Source organism: Homo sapiens, chromosome 11, assembly GCF_000001405.40.
Source record: "Homo sapiens chromosome 11, GRCh38.p14 Primary Assembly".
Taxonomy (NCBI): domain Eukaryota; kingdom Metazoa; phylum Chordata; class Mammalia; order Primates; family Hominidae; genus Homo; species Homo sapiens.
In genome coordinates, this window is record NC_000011.10 from 706,195 (window position 1) to 728,123 (window position 21,929).

Consider the following 21,929-nt stretch of genomic DNA (forward strand, 5'->3'; position numbering starts at 1 on the left):
CCGCGGGAGACCTGGCGCCCCGGCCGAGGCGCGAACAGACGGACGCACCGGCGAGCGCCGAGGGGACAGGCCGAGCGCGGGGCGCCGGAGGCAGGTGAGCGCTGCGGACACGGGGGAGCGCGCCCGCCCGGGCCTCAGTTTACCCGGTGGCGATGGGACGCGGGGCTTCTGGTTCAGGACACCGGGACGAACGCGGCGTCGCAGGGCGCGGGGCACTTGGAGGGCGGCCGGGCCGAGGGCGCGGGGCAAGGGGCTGGGGGCCTGGTCGAGTCCCCACCTCTCCTGGACGGGTCCTGCTGCAGCCCGGCCTGCCCCCGTCGGTCCTGGGCGGCGGCCGGCGAGCAAGGATATTTTTAAGCCAGCGATGGGTGACTCACCTGCCCCGTCCTGCCCACTCCCAGCTCTGGGGCTTGGTGGGGGCAATCCCTGCGTCCGGAGAGCGCTGGTGGTAGGGAGGCTTCTCCCGGTTCTGTGAGCAGCAGGACCCTCCCGAGGGCCTGACCGTGGAGGTAGCACTGCACACCCACTCCCTGTGGGCCGGAGCCAGGAGGCACTTCCTGGGTGTCGGAGCCCAGAAGGAAACCAGTGGCCGGGAAGCACCAGCTGGGTCAGTCTCCAGGTCAGGGTTGGGGGTGGGAGTTTCAGGGAGGAGGGGAGGCTGGGACAGGGGCTGCAGAGGCCCTGCCAGGAGAGGCAGGAGGGTGGGCTGGCAGGAGCCTGTGGGCACGCGAACTTCAGCCATCCTAGATTCCTGGTCCCTGCGTCCAGCTGCCTGGCGTTGCCCCTTGCTGCGGGGTGTCCCTGGTGGCAGGGGAGGGGGAGGCAGGGCCGGGCATGCCCGGACCTCTGCCCCCACCCACCCCGTGCTCAGTCCTGGGTCGGCTGTGCTGGGAGGCAGGCCCAGCTGGCGGCGGCCCCTCCCCTCGCGGCCCCTCCTCCCCTCGCGGCCCCTCCTGGGTCCCAGCCTCTCCCGGGCCTGCTTAGCACCCAGGCCTTGTTGGCATAGCTCTCCCACCGGGCCTTCTCCGCCTGCCTCGGTCTCCTTTCCCACCCTCAGCTTCCCCAGCTTATCCCTTCCTCCCTCAAGCCATAGCTTCCAAACAAGGACAGGGCCAGGGCCTGAGGGGCCTCCCCATTCCAGGGCCCCACCCAGCGCCTATGAGGGCAGCCTGGAGCCCCTGTGACTCAGCTGACCCCTCCCCAAGGTCACTCAGCATGTGGAGCTGGAACTTGAACTTGGAGCCCGTCCCTCTACCCTCCTGCCCTGCTGGGACCTCCTCCCCTCCACAGCCCGACTGACCGGGCACCCCGCTCTGCCTCACTTCACACCGGGAAAATGACCACAGTACAAAGTGCAGCCTGGGCCTCCAGGGCTTCGTCCCCACCACCAGTGGGCCAAAGAAGCCTCCCCAGGGGGGCGGGGCTCCCACAGGGCAGGAGGCAGCCCCATACCCATGTGCTTCAGACCCAGACACCACACCTGGACCCACCCCACTGCTGCCCGGCCCTGCCTGGGCCTGAGGTCCCCGATGCCCTGCAGGCAACCGAAGGCCAGGAACCTGGCCTTCCCCAGGGGGGTCGCGTGTCACAGCCCTCCATGTTTGCGTGCCCCCAGGCCTGAGTCTGCAAGGGTGCGTTGGTGTCTCGCCCAGGTGTGTGCCTGGACACACGTGCCTGGCGCCCTTGGTGGAGCCCGCCAGGAATCCCATTAAGCAAACACTCAGGCTCGCCACTGAGCCCGTGAACATTCCAGACATTCTCCACGGATAGATGGATGGAGGAAGTGGCCATACCCCCTGGTGCACCCAGCCCCTCATGTCAGCGGCAGTGCCCCCGGGCCTCCCAGACCCTCCCACTAGGCCAGACCTGGTCAAACCAGAAAGTCCCGGGTGCTCCGAGCCACTCCCTTGACCCTCCATACCAACAGCAGTGGCTGGTGACCCCCACCGTGGCAGACCCAAACTCTGAAGCCACAGGGGACAGCCCTGCAGCCCTGGCAGGAGGCAGATGGTGTGGACCTGTGGGGAGCTGATCACAGAGCCACAGAACAGCCAGGTCCCCACAGGGCATAGTCCCCTTGGGACAAGTCAGCCTGGTTCAGGGCCATCAGGCTCTGTCCATCCCCCCGGGAAGCCCCTAGGGTCCAGCCCAAATCAGACCCACCTGTCTGCCCTGGCGGCTGGGCCTTAGTTTCCCCAAAATGCTCGGGGAAGAGGTCAGCACTAGGAGCCCAGAGACAGGCTCTGAGGATTCTGCCCCTGGGGGAGGCCAGAGGCACCTGCCCCATAGCCACCCTACCTCGTTGGAGGGGCAGTGATACTGTGTGTTGGGGCCACTGGACTGGCTCCCAGTCTCAGCCCCCACCACACCTGCCCTCCAGTCCCTCCCCTAGGCTTGGCTGCTGCCAGGGGTTCTGCGCTGGCCACCTGGCCGCATCCCTGCCCTCGAGGTGAGGAAACACTGCACCCCGGGGACCCCAGGGTTTCCTGCCCGCACAGCCTCTTCCCTGCCAGGTCTCCCAGGCCCAGGAAAGAGCCAAGGGCCAGCCTCTTTGCTGGGGCCTGGACAGAGGTGGCATGTGTGGGTGGCAAGTCCACATGTGGGTGCAGGAGCCCCTTGGGGTGCAGGCCTGGGGTGGGGCAGGAGTGGCGGCTAGAGCCGGGCTCCCTCTGGACTTCAGGACCTACCCCAACTCCAGCCTCACCTCTCCTGCCATCCTGCAGCTCCCACCCGCCCTCCCCCAACCCCCACCGCACCCCCCTCCCCCCACACTCCCACCTCATCCCCCTCCCCTTACCCATCCCACCCCCCTCCCCACAGCACCAGGGCCTTAAACTCCATGCTGCCCAGCTTGGAAGGCGCCTTCTGCCCCCAGGGCCCTTGTCAGAGCCTCCCAGTCAGCCTCTGGGGGGTCCCTGTGGAGCACCTAGGGTCTGAGGCATGACGAGGCTGATCGACTGTCAACTGGGACGTGGGGCCAACTGGGACGTGGGGCCAACTGGGATGTCGGGCAGGGGCTCTGCCCCCCAAGGGACCCCCACCCAGGCCAGGCCAGTCAGGGATCTGGCCCAGGGAAGGAGGGGAGGAACCAGCCAGGCCGGAGGAAGTGTCAGCGCAGCCCTTCTGTCCACCCAGGTGTGGGACAGGCACTGGCCTCAGACCGGGGCCACACTGAGGTCTGCCCTTCTCCCGCTGGCCGCCACCCAAGACACCATGAGCCAGTCCGGGGCCGTGAGCTGCTGCCCGGGTGCCACCAAGTGAGCCCTCCCACCCATCCCGAATACCCCACCCTCACCCTCTGAACAGTCCCCAGGGAGGGGTGCAGTTTGGCCCTGCCCTGACAGCCCCTCCCCTGCAGTGGCAGCCTGGGCCGGTCCGACGGTGTGGCCAAGATGAGCCCCAAGGACCTGTTTGGTGAGTGAGGTTTGAGAACGGGCTGGACGTCACAGGGGAGAAATGGGCACTGCATCCAGGTGGGGGACAGCTGCTCCTGCCCCACAGCTGTGCCTGGTCTGGCCCAGGGGATCTCCGGGTGCCCAGGGAGGCCTCTGGACCCTAATCAACCTTCCGAAAGCTCCTGGCCACTGGATCCCCTCCCCCACACCCGTAAGGGGAGAGGCCTTTACTAATAATTCAGGGAGCATCAATATTGATTCCGCTGCACTCATTGCTGTAACCTGATCACAGCGAGGTTCAGGCAGGATAAGCCGCCAGGTGTCTGCTCCAGGAGGGGGGCCTGGCCAGCCCCCACCTCCCCCCACTCTGCCCTTCCCCAGAGACGACCCTGCCCTCTCGCTAGCTAGATGCACCCTTCACTTATGTCTTTGGACAAGGTGCCTAGTCTGGAAAGCGAGAAGACCTGGGAGGGCAGGGAGAGTGAAGCTGGCAGCTCTCAGAGTGGGAAGAAGCCGGGCTGGGACCCCCTTCCTGTCCCCTCACCCTCCGGGACAGAAACCCCCCGGGCACAGGCTGCTGGTCCCCACTCCACTCAGAGCAAGCCCATCGCCTTCTCCGAGCTGCGTCCTTCTCCAAGGGGGCTTCCCTGGAGGGAGGGAGGGGGCTTCCTGCAGGTCCTGATTTCACACCCACATCCTTCCTGGTGGCCAAGAGGTCCACGGAGCAGCCTCCCTCCGCTTGACTCCACCTTCCCTTGTGGGTCCAGTCCCAACTGGACGGGAGGCTGTGGGTCCTGCCCGTCGGGGGAGTGACTGGTGTCTCCCGGTTCAGAGCAGAGGAAGAAGTATTCCAACTCCAACGTCATCATGCACGAGACCTCGCAGTACCACGTCCAGGTAAGGCCCCGCCCCCAGGTAGGCTCCGCCCCCAGGGAGCACCCTCAGGACATGGCTGTCCTCAGGTTCTCGTCTCCACAAAAAATAAAATAATTAGACGGGCATGGTGGTGCCGGCCTGTAGGCCCTGCTACTGGGGAGGCTGAGGCGAGGGGGTCACTTGAGCCCGGGAGGCGGAGGCTGTAGTGAGCCAAGATCGCACCACTGCACTCCAGCCTGGGCACCTGGGTGACAGAGCTAGACCCTGTCTCAAAACGAAAGAGAGAAAGAGAGAAAGAGAGAAAGGGAGGAAGGGAGGAAGGGAGGAAAGCTCCAGGGAGAGTGGTCAGCCCAGCTTCTGACACCCACGGGGCCGGGGGAGGCCAGAGCCAGAACTGCCCACACTGTCCCGGGCTCAGCCACGGGGCCGGGGAAAGCGCCCCTCTGGTTCCAGTCCTGGGAACTCGCGGCCTGGGGGGTGAGGCAGCCCAGGGTGTGCCGGGAAAACACTGTGGCTGCTGCCCAGCCCTGGATGGGAAGAGCCCCTGGAGGAGATGATCATCCTGGCCCCAAAACGAGGAACTGTATCGGGAGGGAGCAGGCAGAACAAAGACGCCCTTGATGGGGGATTCAGGGAGGCCCGGGCTGCTTCTCAGGGCTCAGACGGGGCTGCCTGCACGCGCCGGACCAGCCGCCAGCCCTGAGGGCTTTTCTGTTCTCCTAGGTCAGTTTCATTGACACGGAGAACTCAGGAAATGTTTTTTTGGGGGGTTTTGTGTGCGTGTGTGCGTGTGTGCGTGCGTGCGTGTGTGTGTGTGTGTGTGTGTCTTTTTTTCTTCCTTTCTTTCTCTCTCTCTCTGTCTCTCTCTTTTCTTTTCTTTCTTTCATTTTGAGACAGGGTCTAGCTCTGTCACCCAGGTGCCCAGGCTGGAGTGCAGTGGTGCGATCTTGGCTCACTACAGCCTCCGCCTCCTGGACTCAAGTGATCCCCTCACCTCAGCCTCCCCAGTAGCTGGGCCTACAGGCTGGCCCCACCATGCCCATCTAATTATTTTATTTTTTTGTGGAGATGGAAGTCTCCCTATGTTGCCCAGGCTGGTCTCAAACTCCTAGGCTCAAGCAATCCTCCCCCCTCCTAGCCAGGCCTGGTAGTGTGAGCTCGTAGTCCAGCTACTTGGGAGGCTCAGGCAGGAGGATCCCACCACGGCCCTCCAGCAGCCTGGGCAACAGAGTCTTAGGCCAGGCGCGGTGGCTCACGCCTGTAATCCCAGCACTTTGGGAGGCTGAGGTGAGTGGATCATCTGAGGTTAGGAGTTTGAGACCAGCCTGACCAACATGGCAAAACCTCATGTCTACTGAAAATACAAAATTAGCCAGGCGTCGTGGTGCATACCTATAATCCCAGCTACTCGGGAGGCTGAGGCAGGAGAATCACTGGAACCCAGGAGGCGGAGGTTGCAGTGAGCCGAGATCACACCACTGCACTCCAGCATGGGCAACAGAGCGAGACTCCATCTCAAAAAAGAGAAAAAAAAAAGGGACCAGGCGCGGTTGTTCATACCTGTAATCCCAGCACTTTGGGAGGCCGAGGCGGGTGGATCACCTGACGTCAGGAGTTCGAGACCAGCCTGACCAACATGGTGAAACCCCATCTCTACTAAAACTACAAAACTTAGCTGGACGTGGTGGTGGGAGCCTGTAGTCCCAGCTACTTGGGAAGCTGAGACAGGAGAATCACTAGAACCCGGGAAATGGAGGTTGCAGTGAGCCGGGATTGCGCCACTGCACTCCAGCCTGGGGGACAGGGCGAGACTCCATCTCAAAAGGAAAAAAAAAAAGGCCCCTGCGCCTGGGTACGAGCTGGGCTCCCGGTTGTGGTCCAAGCCTGGGTGCGAGCTGGGCTCCCGGTTGTGGTCCAAGCCTGGGTGCGAGCTGGGCTCCCGGTTGTCGTCCAAGCCTGGGTGCGAGCTGGGCTCCCGGTTGTCGTCCAAGCCTGGGTGCGAGCTGGGCTCCCGGTTGTCGTCCAAGCCTGGGTGCGAGCTGGGCTTCCGGTTGTGGTCCAAGCCTACAGGACTAGGAAAAGGAGGGAGGGTGAGGGAGCCTGGAGCTGGGTCCTCCTGCAGGACCAGTCCTTTCTGCCACAAACAGCCCTGGCTGGGGGCCCAAAATGCCCCCTGGTTCCCCCTTGCTGTCCTCCACACCTGCAGAGGTGAGACAGGTCACTACTCTTTGAGCCTCAGTTTCCTCGTCTGTACAATGGGTCCAAAGAGCCATCAGGAGTCCCTGAGCTCTTGAATCGGGCTGTTTTGGGTGACCAGGGCCCTCCCAGCAGCCTGGGCAGCTAGACCCTGCATACAGCCAGGCTGGTGACTTCGGCCAGCTCAGTGTCCAGGGGAAGGCACAGAGCAGTGGCCGAGTTCACTTTAGTCCCCTCTTCCTGGGCAGCTCCACCACCTTTCTCAGGGACTCTGCCCTCTTCGGGAGGAGCCTGGGGCCTCTCAGCCTGGCTCCTGGACTTTGGCCCCAGCTGGCCTGGCCTGGCCCCCAGCCAGCAGGAGCCTCGTCTGCCCAGAGGCCAACAGAGTGAGGAGTGGAGGGTGGGTGGGGCTTTCCTGCCTCTCCCCGATGAGGACACTGGGGACCAGAGAGAGGGTGAGAGTCTGGTGGGAAGTCTCTCCAGCCAGGTGGGGGCCGGATCAGATTGGCCCTGACAGTGGGTGGGGGGCACCTGAGCCCGGGTCCATGGTTTGCTTTTTTCTAAGTTATCACACAGTAAAAGCCATGTGTACGTGGGGGTGTGGTTCTGTTGCCACCATAGTCGACCCATCAGCCCCATCACTCCAAACCTGTGAATCCCCGACCTTGGTGGCTACCCCCAACCTCTGGCAACACCTGCCTGCCTTCATCACCACAGTTTCTGTTTGTTTGTGTGTTTGAGACGGAGTCTCGCTCTGTCACCCAGGCTGGAGTGCAATGGCGCGATCTCAGCTCACTGCAACCTCTGCCTCCCAGGTTCAAACCATTCTCCTGCCTCAGCCTCCTGAGTAGCTGGGACTACAGGCGCCCGCCACCACGCCTGGCTAAATTTTTTTTTCTCTGAGACAGAGTCTCACCCTGTCACCTAGGCTGGAGTGCGGTGGCGTGATCTTGGTTCACTGCAACCTCCGCCTCAAGGGTTCAAGTGATTCTCCTGCCTCAGCCTCCCCAGTACCTGGGATTACAGGCACGCACCACCACACCCAGCTAATTTTTTATATCTTTAGCAGAGATGGGGTTTCACCATGTTGGCCAGGCTGGTCTTGAACTCCTGACCTCAATTGATCCACCCACCTCAGCCTCCCAAAGTGGTGGGATTACAGGCGTGAGCCACCGTGCCTGGCCTAATTTTTGTATTTTTAGTACAGATGGGGTTTCACCATGTTGGCCAGGCTGGTCCCCAACGCCTGACCTCAAGTGATCCACCTGTTTTCACTATGTTGGCCAGGCTGGTCCCCAGTGCCTGACCTCAGGTGATCCACCTGCCTCCCAAAGTGCTGGGATGACGGACTGAGTCACTGCGTCCGGCCTCCATCATTGTGGTTTGATAAGTGGAAATTAATTTTTATGATGTCCATTCGTATGTGTTTTTCTTTTATGGTTTAGGGTTTTTGGCATCCTAAGAAGTCATCCTTTGACCAAATTTCTGGAGATTTCTTCCGTGTTTTCTTTTATTTTTTGTAAATTAGGAATTCACTGTGGAAGTTCCTGTGTTTTCTTTTTCTTTTCTTTTTTCTTTTTTTTTTTGAGGTGGAGCTTTGCTGTGTCACCCAGGCTGGGGTGCAGTGGCGTGATCTTGGTTCACTGCAACCTCCACCTCTTGGGTTCAAGCAATTCTCCTGCCTCAGCCTCCTGAGTATCTGGGATTACAGGAATCCATCACCATGCCCGGCTCATTTTTTGTATTTTCATCAGAGATGGGGTTTCACCATGTTGGCAAGGCTGGTCTCGAACTCCTGATCCCAGGTGATCCACCAGCCTTAGCCTCCCAAAGTGCTGGGATTACAGGCGTGAGCCGCCGCGCTGGGCCAGTTCCTGTGTTTTCTTTTGGATGCTTCCCAGTGTAGGCTTTTGCGTTTAGGGCCAGGATCCATTTTATTTTATTTTATTTTATTTTATTTATTTTTTTATTTAATTTTTAAATTTTATTTTATATTTATTTTATTTTATTTTATTTTTTTTTGAGACAGTCTCAATGTACTGGACCACACTGATTGACTGTTTTGAATGTTGAACCAGCCTAATCCTCATTTATTCCAAGTGTGTGATCCTTTTTCCTGTGTTGAGGGACTGATGTGGTAATATTGTTGTTAGGGGTATTTTGTGTTGATGTCCATTAGAGGTACTGGTCTGTAATTTTCGTATAATGCCTATGGCAGGTTGTGTGGCAGGGTTATGTTGGTTTTATAAAATGGGTGGGGAAGTATTCCCTCCTCTTCTGTTTTCAGAAAGAGTTTGTGGGCCGGGCGCGGTGGCTCATGCCTGTAATCCCAGCACTTTGGGAGGCTGAGGTGGGCAGATCACAAGGTCAGGAGATCAAGACCATTCTGGCTAACATGGTGAAACCCCGTCTCTACTAAAAATACAAAAAATTAGCCAGGTGGGATGGCGGGTGCCTGTAGTCCCAGCTACTCGGGAGGCTGAGGCAGGAGAATGGCGTGAACCCCGGAGGCGGAGCTTGCAGTAAGCTGAGATTGCGCCACTGCACTCCAGCCTGGGAGACAGAGTGAGACTCTGTCTCAAAAAAAAAAAAAGAGTTTGTGAAAGCTTGTTATTGTTTCTTCCTTAGATATTTGTTAGGATTTGCCAGTGCTGCCCTCGGAGCACAGGATTTTCTTTGTGGGAAGGTTTCGGTTATTAATCCCCTCTCCTGCCTGTAAGATCTGTAGTGATGCCCCCTCTTTTGTTCTGGTTTTTGAGAATTTGTGTTTTCTCTAGTATTTTTCTTGATCAGGCTTGCTAGGGATTTACCAAGTTTATTAACCTTCTCATAACTAACTTTGGGCTCTGTTGATTTGTGTCTGTCAGTAGTCTGTGTAAAGTGCGTTGACCTCCTCTTAATTTTCTACCTTCCACTTACTGTGGGTTTTATTTGATTCACTTTATCTTTTTCTTTTGTTTTTTTTTTTTTTTTTTTTGAAATGGAGTCTTGCTCTGTCGCCCAGGCTGGAGTGCAGTGGCACGATCTTGATTCACTGCAAGCTCCGCCTCCTGGGTTCACGCCATTCTCCTGCCTCAGCCTCCCAAGTAGCTGGGACTACAGGTGCCCACCACCACGCCCAGCTAATTTTTTGTATTTTTAGTAGAGACGGGGTTTCACCGCGTTAGCCAGGATGGTCTCGATCTCATGACCTCACGATCCGCCTGCCTCGGCCTCCTAAAGTGCTGGGATTACAGGCATGAGCCACCGCGCCCGGCATTGATTCACTTTTCCTACCTGCTTAAGGTGAAACCTTAGATTATTTATCTTTTTTTTTTTTTTTTTTTTCTGAGATGGAGTCTCACTCTGTCACCCAGGCTGGAGTGCACTGGTGCAATCTCAGCTCACTGCAACCTCCGCCTCCTGGGTTCAAGCGATTCTCCTGCCTCAGCCTCCCAAGTAGCTGAGGTTACAGGCATGCACCACCATGCCTGGCTAATTTTTGTGTGGGGTTTTTTTTTTTTTTGAGACAGAGTCTCGCTCTGTCACCCAGGCTGGAGTGCAGTGGCACCATCTCAGCTCACAGCAAGCTCCGCCTCCCAGGTTCATGCCATTCTCCTGCTTCAGCCTCCTGAGTAGCTGGGACTACAGGCGCCCGCCACCCCGCCCGGCTAATTTTTTGTGTTTTTAGTAGAGATAGGGTTTCACCGTGTTAGCCAGGATGGTCTTGATCTCCTGACTTTGTGATCTGCCTGCCTCAGCCTCCCAAAGTGCTGGGATAATTTTTGTATTTTCAGTACAGACAAGAGTTTTGCCATGTTGGCCCAGCTGGTCTCAAACTCCTGATCTCAAGTGATCCACCCTCCTTGGCCTCCCAAAGTGCTGGGATTACAGGCGTGAGCCACCGTGCCTGGCCAGATTATTGATCTTAAGTCTTTCTTCTTTTCTAAGATATTCATGGAAAGCTCTACATTCTCCTTGCAGCACTGGTTTAGTTGTATTCCACAAATTGTGATATGTATGTTCAGAATGCTTTCTAGTTTTCTTGTGACTTCATCTTTGATGCATGGGTTATTTAGAAATATGTTGCTTTGTTTCTAAACATTTGGGGATTTTCTGGTTTTATTTTTATTATGGGTTTCTACCTTAATTCTGTTATGATCAAAAAACATATTCTGTACTGTTGCAGTCACTTGAGATTTACTGAGACTTGTTCTGTGGCCCAGCAGCCTGGTTTTTCTTGTTTGGTTGTATTGTGTGTTTCAGGTTTTACTCTGCCTCTCGCAGAGAGATGAGTGGCCTCATAGTCCCTTGCGTGTTTCTGCACACTTATTTTATTTATTTATTTATTTTTGAGACAGAGTCTCGCTCTGTTGCCCAGGCTGGAATGCAATGGCACGATCTCGGCTCACTGCAATCTCTACCTTCCGGGTTCAAGTGATTCTCTTAACTCAGCCTCCTGAGTAGCCGGGGTTACAGGCGCCCACCACCACGCCGGGCTAATTTTTGTATTTTTAGTAGAGACGGGGTATCACCGTGTTGGTCAGGCTGGTCTCGAACTCCTGACCTTGTGATCCACCTGCCTTGGCCTCCCAAAGTGCTGGGATTACAGGCATGAGCCACCGTGTCTGGCCCTGTGCCCACTGTAACCTGTTGGATCTGCCCACTTCTTTAACCTGTTGATGGACATGTAGGCTGGGTCCAGTCTTTATTATTACAAATAGTTCTGCATTGAGCAGCCTGGTACCGATGCCACATTTTGCACGTGTGCAGATTACCTGTAGTAGAATTGGGAGGGGATGGTGTGTGCAGCTTTAGAGGTGCCACTGGCCTCTCCCCAGAGAGGCTGGGCAGGTGCTGGATGAGGGCATCCTTTCTCCACATCCTAACCCATAAGTAAAACCCACAATGACTATTAGTATTGGGCAATAGAATAGGTAAAAAAACACAATTCCTGGCTGGGCGAGGTGGCTCATGCCTATAATCCCAGCACTTTGGGAGGCACAGGCAGGAGGATCGCTTCAGCCCAGGAGTTCAAGACCAGCCTGGGCAACATAGCAAGCCCTTGTCTCTAGAAAAAATAAATAGGCAGGGCACAGTGGCTCACGTCTGTAATCCCAGCACTTTGGGAGGCCGAGGCGGGCAGATCACAAGGTCAGGAGATGGAGACCATCCTGGCTAATATGGTGAAACCCCATCTCTACTAAAAATACAAAAAATTAGCCGGGCGTGGTGGCAGGCGCCTGTAGTCCCAGCTACTCGGGAGGCTGAGGCAGGAGAATGGCGTGAACCTGGGAGGCGGAGATTGCAGTGAGCCGAGATCGCGCCACTGCACTCCAGCCTGGGCAGCAGAGTGAGACTCCGTTTCAAAAAAAAGAAAAAAAAAATTGTTAACCAAAAACCAAACAGAGGCTGGGCATGGTGGCTCACGCCTGTAATCCCAGCACTTTGGGAGGCTGAGGCGGGCAGATAACCTGAAGTCAGTAGTTTGAGACCATTCTGGCCAACATGGAGAAACCTTGTCTCTACTAAAAATACAAAAATTAGTCGGGTGTGGTGGTGGGTGCCTATAATCCCACGTACTCGGGAAGCTGAAGCAGGAGTATCACTTGAACCCGGGAGGCGGAGCTTGCAGTGAGCCAAGATCACACCACTGCATTCCAGCCTGGGGGACAGAGCGAGACTGTCTCAAAAACAAAACAAAAACTAACAAACAAACAAAAAAACCCGCCAAACCGACAAAACACTAAAATAAAAGAGGCTCAGAGTTTCAAATTGTAATTCTTTCATTCAATGGTGTTGCATACAATTTTTTCTTTGAGTTTTTGCATGCTTTTTTAATTTTTTTTTTTTTTTTTAGTTTGAGACAGGGTCTCTCTCTGTTGCCCAGGCTCAGTGCAGTGGCACGAACATGGTTCACTGCAACTTTGACCTCCTGGGCTCAAGCATTCCTCCCACTTCAGCCTCCCAAGTAGCTGGGATGACAGGTGTGTACCACCACACCTGGCTAATTTTTTAATTTTTTTAATTTCTTTTTTTTTTTTTTGAGATGGAGTCTCACTCTGTCGCCCAGGCTGGAGTGCAGTGGCACGATCTTGATTCACTGCAAGCTCCGCCTCCTGGGTTCACGCCATTCTCCTGCCTCAGCCTCCCGAGTAGCTGGGACTATAGGCGCCTGCCACCACGCCTGGCTAATTTTTTGTATTTTTAGTAGAGACGGGGTTTCACCATATTAGCCAGGATGATCTCAATCTCCTGACCTTGTGATCCACCCGCCTCGGCCTCCCAAAGTGCTAGGATTACAGGCATGAGCCACTGCGCCCGATCTTTTTTTTTTTTTTTTGAGACAGAGTCTTCCTCTGTTGCCCAGCCTGGAGTGTAGTGGTGCAATCTTGGCTCACTGTAACCTCTGCCTCCTGGGTTCAAGTGATTCTCCCACCTCAGCCTCCCGAGTAGCTGGGATTACAGGCGCCCGCCACAATGCCTGGCTAATTTTTTGTATTTTTAGTAGAGACAGGGTTTCACCATGTTGGCTAGGCTGGTCTCGAACTCCTGACCTCAGGTGATCCACCCGCCTCGGCCTCCCGCAGTGCTGGGATGATAGATGTGAGCCACCGCGCCCGGCCACACAAACTTTTATGTTTTGCGTTTTGTGGTTGTCTTTGACTGTCCTGTAGTTCAAGTTAGTGTTTATCCAGCTGTGCCAGCATTGTGCACCGAACGGCCAACCCTTCGTGGGAGGGTTTTACTTAGTGAACACGGCAGCTTGGCTGGAGGAGGGGGCCTGAGCCAGGCCTGGAAAGAGGAGAGGTGAAGGGCACAGGGCAGGGGCCAGGCTGGCCGCAGATCCTCAGGGATGGACGCATCCCGCACACACTTGTCGAGGGTCCTCTGTGCACCAGGCTTTGCCCTGGACCTGGGGACACAGCTTAGCAAGTGGCAACCGGAACAGTGCCTTGGAGTAGCGAGCACGCTGGACGCACAGCACACCACGTGCAGCGCGACGTTGGGTCTGATTCAGGGAATTAGGGCAGGTCGGGATGGGGTGACGGCTGGCATTGTAGCCAGGTGGCCACAGAGGGGACGTCTGAGAAGGAAGAGAGCTGGGGAGGCTGGCAAAGCTGGTGCAGTGGGCGGGTACTGAGCCTGCACCAGGAGGTGGGCGGGTGAGGATGGTGGCGCGGGGCCGGGCAGCAGTTGGAATTCCTTTGAGGATAGTTTCAGGACACAAGCATGGCCCCTACAGATGCCTGCCAAGGCAGAATAGAGACTCCCCCCACCAAAGGCGGGGCCGGTCCCCGTTCTAGCCCCCTACCCAGGGTTGGCTGTGGCCCCTCAGCCCCTCAGGCTGTGGCCCCTGGGGGCTGGGCTTTCGACACAAGGAGGGCTCTGCCCAGCAGTGACCACCTGCCCACCCCCAGCACCTGGCCACATTCATCATGGACAAGAGCGAAGCCATCACGTCTGTGGACGACGCCATCCGGAAGCTGGTGCAGCTGAGCTCCAAGGAGAAGATCTGGACCCAGGAGATGCTGCTGCAGGTGAACGACCAGTCGCTGCGGCTGCTGGACATCGAGTCACAGGTGGGGCCCAGCGCCACGGGGGACAGGGAGCACAGTGGGTAGAGGCGGTGGCAGCCACCGGCTGCAGCCCGGATGTGCGGCCGGTCCTCTCTGCAGGGCCGGCCATGCCCTATCATTCTGGTCCCTGGAAGAGGATGGGACAAGGGTGGGCAGAGGGCCGCATAGAGCTGAGAGTCCAGGGAAGTTTGGAAGCCGGGGTCAGCCTTGCGGTACAGCTGCGGGGTGTGTCCCGGGCCTAGTCCTCATCTTTGGGAGCCCATTCCCCAGCGGCGCCAGAGGGGCCTGTGCTCCAGGCTTGTCCACAGCTCCGGCCACTCCCTGCCAGAGTGCCCAGACCCCGGGTGCGAGTCGTGTCCGCGCGATGTACCCGCAGGAGGAGCTGGAAGACTTCCCGCTGCCCACGGTGCAGCGCAGCCAGACGGTCCTCAACCAGCTGCGCTACCCGTCTGTGCTGCTGCTCGTGTGCCAGGACTCGGAGCAGAGCAAGCCGGATGTCCACTTCTTCCACTGCGATGAGGTGGAGGTGAGGCGGTGCCGGGCGGGGCAGGGTGGGGCCCCGCCGCGCCGCGCCCCGCCCTCCTGGCCGCCTGACGCCCGCTTTCCCAGGCAGAGCTGGTGCACGAGGACATCGAGAGCGCGTTGGCCGACTGCCGGCTGGGCAAGAAGATGCGGCCGCAGACCCTGAAGTAGGGCAGCGGGCGGAGCGGGGTCGCAGGGGGCGGGGAGGGGAGGAGCCCGGCAGGGGAGGGGAGGAGCCGGCAGGGGAGGGGAGGAGCCCGGCAGGGAGGGAGGGTCAGGTGCGTTCCCGGCGGGGCTGAGCAGGACCCCCTCGCCCTCCAGGGGACACCAGGAGAAGATTCGGCAGCGGCAGTCCATCCTGCCTCCTCCCCAGGGCCCGGCGCCCATCCCCTTCCAGCACCGCGGCGGGGATTCCCCGGAGGCCAAGAATCGCGTGGGCCCGCAGGTGCCACTCAGCGAGCCAGGTGGGCCGAGGGGCTGGAGGGGGCTCCACAGGGCTCGTTGTGGGGGGCTCGGTGAGCAGCCGCCGTGTCCCCCATCAGGTTTCCGCCGTCGGGAGTCGCAGGAGGAGCCGCGGGCCGTGCTGGCTCAGAAGATAGAGAAGGAGACGGTGGGTGCCCGGGCCCGGCAGGTGGCCCCTCTCTTCCCCGCCCCCAGCAGTGGACACTGGTCCTTGCTGTCCCTCCGGCCAGTCCCCAGCCTGTGGCTGCCCCTCCGAAGGTGTGGGGCCCAGCTCCTCCCATCATCTGTGGGGCTGTCCCTGCAGCAAGGCGGGGCGGTGGGGAGTGTCAGGGGCTGACCCCTGACCCCCTCTGACCCCAGCAAATCCTCAACTGCGCCCTGGACGACATCGAGTGGTTTGTGGCCCGGCTGCAGAAGGCAGCCGAGGCTTTCAAGCAGCTGAACCAGCGGAAAAAGGGGAAGAAGAAGGGCAAGAAGGCGCCAGCAGGTGCAGGGGACAGGGACGGGGCCGGCAGGTGCAGGGGACGGGGCCAGCAGGTGCAGGGGACAGGGACGGGGACGGGGCCAGGGACATCCATGGGGGCTACTCATGGAGGTGGAGGAAGGTCCAGCCCACACAGATGGGCTGCGTGGGACAGAAGGCGCAGGGGCCGGGGAGATCAGGGCCAGCCTGGCTCACGCGGTGCCTCCCATGCCAGAGGGCGTCCTCACACTGCGGGCACGGCCCCCCTCTGAGGGCGAGTTCATCGACTGCTTCCAGAAAATCAAGCTGGCGATTAACTTGCTGGTGGGTCCGGTGGCCCCAGCCCTGCCCCACTGTCTGTGCTGAGGGGAGGGTGGAGGCCCCGCCCCGCCCCGGCACCTGCTCACTTGTTCCCACCCCCAGGCAAAGCTGCAGAAGCACATCCAGAACCCCAGCGCCGCGGAGCTCGTGCACTTCCTCTTCGGGCCTCTGGACCTGGTGCCTGGGGCCGGGCGGCAGGGGCGCGCAGGGTGGGGGCCCAGAGGCCTCTGCAGCATCTCCCCGGGGTCGGGGTTGGGGCAGCAGGTGCCCGCCTTGGGCAGCCCGGTTCACGCTGTGTGGCCACTCTCCCTGGGGTCCAAAGTCCCTTCCCGAGGGCCAGCCTGTGGAGCTACGGGGGTGCTGGGCCAGGGTCTGTGGGCCTCAGTCCCCTCTGAACCTCACTGTGCCCCAGATCGTCAACACCTGCAGTGGCCCAGACATCGCACGCTCCGTCTCCTGCCCACTGCTCTCCCGAGATGCCGTGGACTTCCTGCGCGGCCACCTGGTCCCTAAGGAGATGTCGCTGTGGGAGTCACTGGGAGAGAGCTGGATGCGGCCCCGGTAGGGCAGGGCAGAGCAGTGCCGGGGCTTCATGGGGGGCCAGCGCTGCATGGGGGCCAGCAAGGGGGTCCTGGTGGGCCAGTTCTGGAGAGGCAGGGCTGACTTCAGGACCTCTCACCCCAGTTCCGAGTGGCCGCGGGAGCCACAGGTGCCCCTCTACGTGCCCAAGTTCCACAGCGGCTGGGAGCCTCCTGTGGATGTGCTGCAGGAGGCCCCCTGGGAGGTGGAGGGGCTGGCGTCTGCCCCCATCGAGGAGGTGAGAGCACCAGCAGCCCCCATCCCTACCCCAGCCCCAACACCCACTCCTCACCAGAGCTCCCCCCCAGCCCTGACACCCACCCCTCCCCAGAGCTCCCCCCCCAGCCCTGACACCCACCCCTCCCCAGTGCTCCCCTCCCCAGCCCCGACACCCACCCCTCCCCAGAGCTCCCCTCCCCGGCCCCGACACCCACCCCTCCCCAGAGCTCCCCTCCCCAGCCCACCTCCACCCACCGCCCCTTCAGCCACAGCTCAGCTGCCCCTAGCCCCTGCCAGGAGAGGCAACCCATGCTGGCATCACCGGGCATCAGGCTCCATCACCCTCAGTGATGCATCAGTCACAGGACATTAGCCCAGCCCCTGTCATATGCCCCCTCGTCCTGGGACCCAGCCCCGCCCCATGTCTAACTCAGGTCGCCCACCTTCCCCACAGGTGAGTCCAGTGAGCCGACAGTCCATAAGAAACTCCCAGAAGCACAGCCCCACTTCAGAGCCCACCCCCCCGGGGGATGCCCTACCACCAGTCAGCTCCCCACATACTCACAGGTAAGCCCCCCTCAAAGTGAGGGAGCATGAAAGTGAAACCCTTCAGAACCTACAGTCTCTAAAAACATATGGGTACGCTGCCACCAGGTGGTGGCAAGTGCATTGTTCAAGTGGTTTAAAATACTTTTCCAGATTTGAAGCGGTTTTCATTTCAACTGCATGATATATAATTAAAGGAAACATTTCAAAAGTCATGCACAAATTCTCTACCCTAATATATCAGCTTTTTCTGTGCATCCACATGTATGTTTTAGAACCAAGGTTAGAAACTACTAAACCACTGAACTTGAGTGGTTTCACCAAACACTGGCACCCTGTTGGGGCTGTTGGGACTGATTCAGGCCCAACCTCTGGTAGAGCCAAAAGAGGAGACTGGGGTTCTGGGCTAGTGAAGCCTCTCCCCTCCTCCCACCCCCAGCCCCACCTGTTTCCAAAGAGGACAAAGAACAAGCCTATGGCACTAGGGGAGTCCCGTCTTTCCTTGCCTCTCCTCTTCCCTTCTGTGCTCATTCCTGGTCCAATCTGCATGGGAAGCCCCTGACCCTCCCACACCCCAGGATTCAATTTTGGGGTAAAGAGGGGCCAGCAATCCATCTTCTAAGCAAGCATGGCCTCCCCTCACCCACAGTGTCAGCCTGGCTCCCGTGGTCCCTGGCCTAGGACCACACTTAAAAACATTTCCACCCTTTGACTTCAGCTCCTGGTCTGTCCACCCTGGCCATGTCCTGACAGTCCATGGCCACTTCATTTCCCTGAGCACCTGGACACGGGAGCTGCCCTGATGACCAGGGCCACACTGACCAGGATGGACGGCCTGGCCAGGTGACAGCCACAGGCCTGCTACATGCCAAAGCCAGGACCCCTCAGCCAGGGCCAGCCCCCCCGCGCTTTTGAGGTGCAGGTCCCACCCCACAGAGAGGAGCTTGAGACCCGTCCTCCACTGGACCATTTGGGCTGTGTTCAGTCCTCAGAGGGGCCACGGCTCTGAAGACATGCTGGCCCTCACTGGCCAGCTGCGGGGAGCTGTGACCCTGGCGTTTCCCAGGAACGCCCCTGGCTCTGGTTCCCCTGGGGTGCCGGACTGGAGACCCCTGAGGTGGCCTGGGATGGGCCAGCCTTGCTGTACCACAGGCCCCTGCGCCACGCCCACCTCCTGCCTGCCCCGCCTCCACGCAGGGCCCCAAAGCTCTGGGGCTGTCACAGTTTCCATTCCGGGCTGACGCTGCCTGCAGCCTCTCTCCACGGTGACCTCCAGAACAGAAAAGAGGCAGCCAGTCGTGCACCTGGGAAGCTGCTGCCCCCCAGCCACTGCCCAGGTCTCAGAGGAGACCCCCACCAGACTGGGCCTCAGCCCCTCCTGTTCCTCACAGGGGCTACCAGCCAACACCAGCCATGGCCAAGTACGTCAAGATCCTGTATGACTTCACAGCCCGAAATGCCAACGAGCTATCGGTGCTCAAGGATGAGGTCCTAGAGGTGAGGGGCTGGAGGACGGGGTCCAAGAGGGGGAAACAGGGCAGGGCTTCAAGGGAGGGGCTACCAGGGGAGGTGGGGAGCGGTCTAGGGCCAGGCTGGGTGATGCCAGGACGGGGCACAGCTGCTGGCCCCTTTCTCCAGGGTCCCCGCCCTTGGACTCTGATCAGGATCCCCAGCCTGTTGGAGGGGCCTTCCCATCTTGGGGCTCCCCAAAGGCATGCAGAGACCCCTGTGCCAGGCTGGGGGGAGCATCTGCACCACGTGGACTCAGCGGGGGCCTGTCATTCACACCCACCCAGGAGCCCCCACATCTGCACTGGCCGCATCTGCCAGCCGGAATCCAGGCCACCCACTGGGGGACAGAAAGTGGAGCAGGCTAGGGGGGAGTGGGCCACATCCACAGCCTGGCTCGGCGGCTCACGCCTGTAACCGCAGCACTGGGAGGCCAAGGCGGGAGGATCCCTTTAGCCCACGAGTTCGAGACAAGCCTGGGCAACACCTCAAAACCCCATCTCTACAAAAAACATAAAAATTATCTGGATGTGGTGGTGTGTGCCTGTGGTCCCAGCTACTCTGGAGGCTGAGGTGGGGGGATCGCCTGAACCCAGGAGGTCGAGGCTGCAGTGGGCAGTGATTGCACCACTGCATTCCAGCCTGGGCGGCAGAGTGAGACCCTGTCTCCGAGAAAAAAAGGGTCCCCCAGACTCCTTGAGGCAGGGTGGGGGAGGAGCAGCCCAGCGAGGGATGGAGGGGTGGAAACAGGGGTGCGGAGAGAATGGAGCGAAGCGGGGCTCCGGGAGACCCTAGGGCGCTCCCGACCTCTGTAAAGCGGCGCCAGCGGGTGGTCCCAGCCCCGCAGAGCCTGGGTGTGGGGAGGGGCTGACGGCGCGCCCCGCAGGTGCTGGAGGACGGCCGGCAGTGGTGGAAGCTGCGCAGCCGCAGCGGCCAGGCGGGGTACGTGCCCTGCAACATCCTAGGCGAGGCGCGACCGGAGGACGCCGGCGCCCCGTTCGAGCAGGTGAGCCCGCGGGGGTCCCTGGGGTCGCAGCCCCCAGCTTCCTGGAGCAGCCCCGCCTGCGCCTAGCCCCGCCCCAAGGCCAGCCCCGCGGCTGGAGAGACTGGGGCAGGTGCAGGGCTCCCTGGGCAGAAGGAAAGGGCTGGTCCGCAGGCCGGGGCTGTAGGGGGATTGGCGGGGTGGGGAGGTCCCGGGCAGGTGCTGGGAGGCGGGGGCGGGGCGTGGGGAGCCTAATCGCCCCCCGCCCCCGCAGGCCGGTCAGAAGTACTGGGGCCCCGCCAGCCCGACCCACAAGCTACCCCCAAGCTTCCCGGGGAACAAAGACGGTGAGAGCTGCTGCTTCGAGGCGGGGGTCCCGGGCCCAGGGCCACCTGGGGGAGGAAGTGTGGGGGGGGTCCCTGGGCCGGGGGCGGGGGCAGGGGCAAGGCAGCGGCGGGCCTGAGTCGCGCGCCCCCTCAGAGCTCATGCAGCACATGGACGAGGTCAACGACGAGCTCATCCGGAAAATCAGCAACATCAGGGCGCAGCCACAGAGGCACTTCCGCGTGGAGCGCAGCCAGCCCGTGAGCCAGCCGCTCACCTACGAGTCGGGTCCGGACGAGGTCCGCGCCTGGCTGGAAGCCAAGGCCTTCAGCCCGCGGTGAGCGGGGGCGGGGGATGAGCTGGGGCCCGGGCGAGGGGTGGGAGGTGCGGCCGAAGGTGCGCAGCTGTCGGGGCGGGCGCCAGGCAGCCTCGCTCACAGCGCGGCCCTGACGCCCAACTGCCCGCCCCCAGGATCGTGGAGAACCTGGGCATCCTGACCGGGCCGCAGCTCTTCTCCCTCAACAAGGAGGAGCTGAAGAAAGTGTGCGGCGAGGAGGGCGTCCGCGTGTACAGCCAGCTCACCATGCAGAAGGCCTTCCTGGAGGTGAGCCCGCCTGCGCTCCGGCGCCACGCCCCTCCTGCCCCTGCGCCCTCCTCTCCCCCGCCCGTTCCTGGGGTCGCAGAGCAAGGGGGAGGCCGGCACCCAGACACGTGGGACCCCCGGCTGAGGATGCCCCCATTTCTCCTCCCTAGAAGCAGCAAAGTGGGTCGGAGCTGGAAGAACTCATGAACAAGTTTCATTCCATGAATCAGAGGAGGGGGGAGGACAGCTAGGCCCAGCTGCCTTGGGCTGGGGCCTGCGGAGGGGAAGCCCACCCACAATGCATGGAGTATTATTTTTATATGTGTATGTATTTTGTATCAAGGACACGGAGGGGGTGTGGTGCTGGCTAGAGGTCCCTGCCCCTGTCTGGAGGCACAACGCCCATCCTTAGGCCAAACAGTACCCAAGGCCTCAGCCCACACCAAGACTAATCTCAGCCAAACCTGCTGCTTGGTGGTGCCAGCCCCTTGTCCACCTTCTCTTGAGGCCACAGAACTCCCTGGGGCTGGGGCCTCTTTCTCTGGCCTCCCCTGTGCACCTGGGGGGTCCTGGCCCCTGTGATGCTCCCCCATCCCCACCCACTTCTACATCCATCCACACCCCAGGGTGAGCTGGAGCTCCAGGCTGGCCAGGCTGAACCTCGCACACACGCAGAGTTCTGCTCCCTGAGGGGGGCCCGGGAGGGGCTCCAGCAGGAGGCCGTGGGTGCCATTCGGGGGAAAGTGGGGGAACGACACACACTTCACCTGCAAGGGCCGACAACGCAGGGGACACCGTGCCGGCTTCAGACACTCCCAGCGCCCACTCTTACAGGCCCAGGACTGGAGCTTTCTCTGGCCAAGTTTCAGGCCAATGATCCCCGCATGGTGTTGGGGGTGCTGGTGTGTCTTGGTGCCTGGACTTGAGTCTCACCCTACAGATGAGAGGTGGCTGAGGCACCAGGGCTAAGCAATTAAACCAGTTAAGTCTCCCAGGAGCCGTGTGTCTCAGTTCTCTGGGAGTCGGAGTGGGTCCTGGAGCCCCCGGAAACTGCACCTTTTCTAAGCAGTGCCGGGCAGAGGGCTGGCCGTCCGCCAGGCTGCTCTGCCCCTGAGCCCAGAGGGGACCCTGCCCACTTCTCTTCCTGTGGCCCTCCCAGGCCCAGCGACCAGAAGGCCCAAAGCGTGTCATCCAAGCCCGGCTTTCGCTGGGCACAACCCTAGTGGGAGCGGTGGGGACAGAGCCAGCTCGGCCAGACGGTCGGCAGGCCCCAGGAGGGCCATGAGTCAGAGGGCAAGGCTGAAACTGGATTTGGAGATCTTAGCCCAGGCTGACGGAGGCTCCCAAGAAGGGGGAGCAGGCCACACTCAGCACCCTGCGTGGGAGGGGCACC

At 60.2% G+C, this 21,929-nt stretch overlaps 2 protein-coding genes across 6 annotated transcripts in view, besides 10 other annotated features; one reads left to right on the forward strand and one right to left on the reverse strand.

Moving 5' to 3' along the window:
- Window positions 1-889, reverse strand: part of DEAF1 (DEAF1 transcription factor) — a 62,851-nt gene extending 61,962 nt beyond the window's left edge. Inside the window, exon 1 of one of the 2 annotated variants that reach the window (XR_007062437.1) lies at window positions 378-607. The gene's annotated coding sequence lies outside the window, so the exon portion shown is untranslated. Of the gene's footprint in view, window positions 1-377 lie in introns of both variants that reach the window. The other variant, NM_001367390.1, reaches the window with a different exon arrangement.
- Window positions 37-21,533, forward strand: EPS8L2 (EPS8 signaling adaptor L2). 4 transcript variants are annotated; one of them, NM_001441192.1, is made up of 22 exons: window positions 37-94; window positions 480-619; window positions 3,136-3,257; window positions 3,359-3,414; window positions 4,228-4,292; window positions 13,868-14,029; window positions 14,403-14,552; window positions 14,636-14,715; window positions 14,870-15,012; window positions 15,091-15,158; window positions 15,371-15,497; window positions 15,709-15,797; window positions 15,897-15,971; window positions 16,207-16,355; window positions 16,479-16,611; window positions 17,047-17,159; window positions 18,530-18,635; window positions 19,534-19,653; window positions 19,904-19,976; window positions 20,110-20,290; window positions 20,425-20,557; window positions 20,707-21,533. In NM_001441192.1, the coding sequence occupies exons 3-22, from the start codon at window positions 3,214-3,216 to the stop codon at window positions 20,785-20,787; spliced, it is 2,148 nt and encodes a 715-aa protein (NP_001428121.1). In that variant the 5' UTR covers window positions 37-94; window positions 480-619; window positions 3,136-3,213; the 3' UTR covers window positions 20,788-21,533. The 4 variants fall into 4 exon arrangements, with proteins under 4 accessions (NP_001428121.1, NP_001428122.1, NP_073609.2 ...); NM_001441193.1 differs by having other exon boundaries at window positions 480-607; NM_022772.4 differs by lacking the exon at window positions 480-619.
- Window positions 733-1,659: an enhancer, noted in NCBI's record as "H3K27ac-H3K4me1 hESC enhancer chr11:706927-707853 (GRCh37/hg19 assembly coordinates)". NCBI's record gives its function as "activates a minimal SCP1, AML or CMV promoter by ChIP-STARR-seq in naive H9 embryonic stem cells {active_cell/tissue: H9 hESC(naive)}" and the evidence as "EXISTENCE:reporter gene assay evidence [ECO:0000049][PMID:30033119]".
- Window positions 1,660-2,587: an enhancer, noted in NCBI's record as "H3K27ac-H3K4me1 hESC enhancer chr11:707854-708781 (GRCh37/hg19 assembly coordinates)". NCBI's record gives its function as "activates a minimal SCP1, AML or CMV promoter by ChIP-STARR-seq in naive H9 embryonic stem cells {active_cell/tissue: H9 hESC(naive)}" and the evidence as "EXISTENCE:reporter gene assay evidence [ECO:0000049][PMID:30033119]".
- Window positions 3,515-4,442: an enhancer, noted in NCBI's record as "H3K27ac-H3K4me1 hESC enhancer chr11:709709-710636 (GRCh37/hg19 assembly coordinates)". NCBI's record gives its function as "activates a minimal SCP1, AML or CMV promoter by ChIP-STARR-seq in naive H9 embryonic stem cells {active_cell/tissue: H9 hESC(naive)}" and the evidence as "EXISTENCE:reporter gene assay evidence [ECO:0000049][PMID:30033119]".
- Window positions 14,525-14,784: a silencer, noted in NCBI's record as "silent region_3016". NCBI's record gives its function as "represses an Ori minimal core promoter by ATAC-STARR-seq in GM12878 lymphoblastoid cells {active_cell/tissue: GM12878}" and the evidence as "EXISTENCE:reporter gene assay evidence [ECO:0000049][PMID:35858748]".
- Window positions 14,815-14,864: a silencer, noted in NCBI's record as "silent region_3017". NCBI's record gives its function as "represses an Ori minimal core promoter by ATAC-STARR-seq in GM12878 lymphoblastoid cells {active_cell/tissue: GM12878}" and the evidence as "EXISTENCE:reporter gene assay evidence [ECO:0000049][PMID:35858748]".
- Window positions 14,895-15,044: a silencer, noted in NCBI's record as "silent region_3018". NCBI's record gives its function as "represses an Ori minimal core promoter by ATAC-STARR-seq in GM12878 lymphoblastoid cells {active_cell/tissue: GM12878}" and the evidence as "EXISTENCE:reporter gene assay evidence [ECO:0000049][PMID:35858748]".
- Window positions 15,975-16,024: a silencer, noted in NCBI's record as "silent region_3019". NCBI's record gives its function as "represses an Ori minimal core promoter by ATAC-STARR-seq in GM12878 lymphoblastoid cells {active_cell/tissue: GM12878}" and the evidence as "EXISTENCE:reporter gene assay evidence [ECO:0000049][PMID:35858748]".
- Window positions 19,562-19,861: a silencer, noted in NCBI's record as "silent region_3020". NCBI's record gives its function as "represses an Ori minimal core promoter by ATAC-STARR-seq in GM12878 lymphoblastoid cells {active_cell/tissue: GM12878}" and the evidence as "EXISTENCE:reporter gene assay evidence [ECO:0000049][PMID:35858748]".
- Window positions 20,342-20,531: a silencer, noted in NCBI's record as "silent region_3021". NCBI's record gives its function as "represses an Ori minimal core promoter by ATAC-STARR-seq in GM12878 lymphoblastoid cells {active_cell/tissue: GM12878}" and the evidence as "EXISTENCE:reporter gene assay evidence [ECO:0000049][PMID:35858748]".
- Window positions 20,993-21,898: an enhancer, noted in NCBI's record as "H3K27ac-H3K4me1 hESC enhancer chr11:727187-728092 (GRCh37/hg19 assembly coordinates)". NCBI's record gives its function as "activates a minimal SCP1, AML or CMV promoter by ChIP-STARR-seq in naive H9 embryonic stem cells {active_cell/tissue: H9 hESC(naive)}" and the evidence as "EXISTENCE:reporter gene assay evidence [ECO:0000049][PMID:30033119]".

What these genes read in the sequence shown, in the direction of transcription:
- EPS8L2 (NM_001441192.1), top strand. Translation starts at nt 3,214, where the DNA reads ATGAGCCAGTCCGGGGCCGTGAGCTGCTGCCCGGGTGCCACCAA. An exon ending in GAGCCCCAAGGACCTGTTTG is followed by an intron (nt 3,415 to 4,227) that starts GTGAGTGAGGTT and finishes CTCCCGGTTCAG; the next exon opens with AGCAGAGGAAGAAGTATTCC. An exon ending in TGCTGGACATCGAGTCACAG is followed by an intron (nt 14,030 to 14,402) that starts GTGGGGCCCAGC and finishes ATGTACCCGCAG; the next exon opens with GAGGAGCTGGAAGACTTCCC.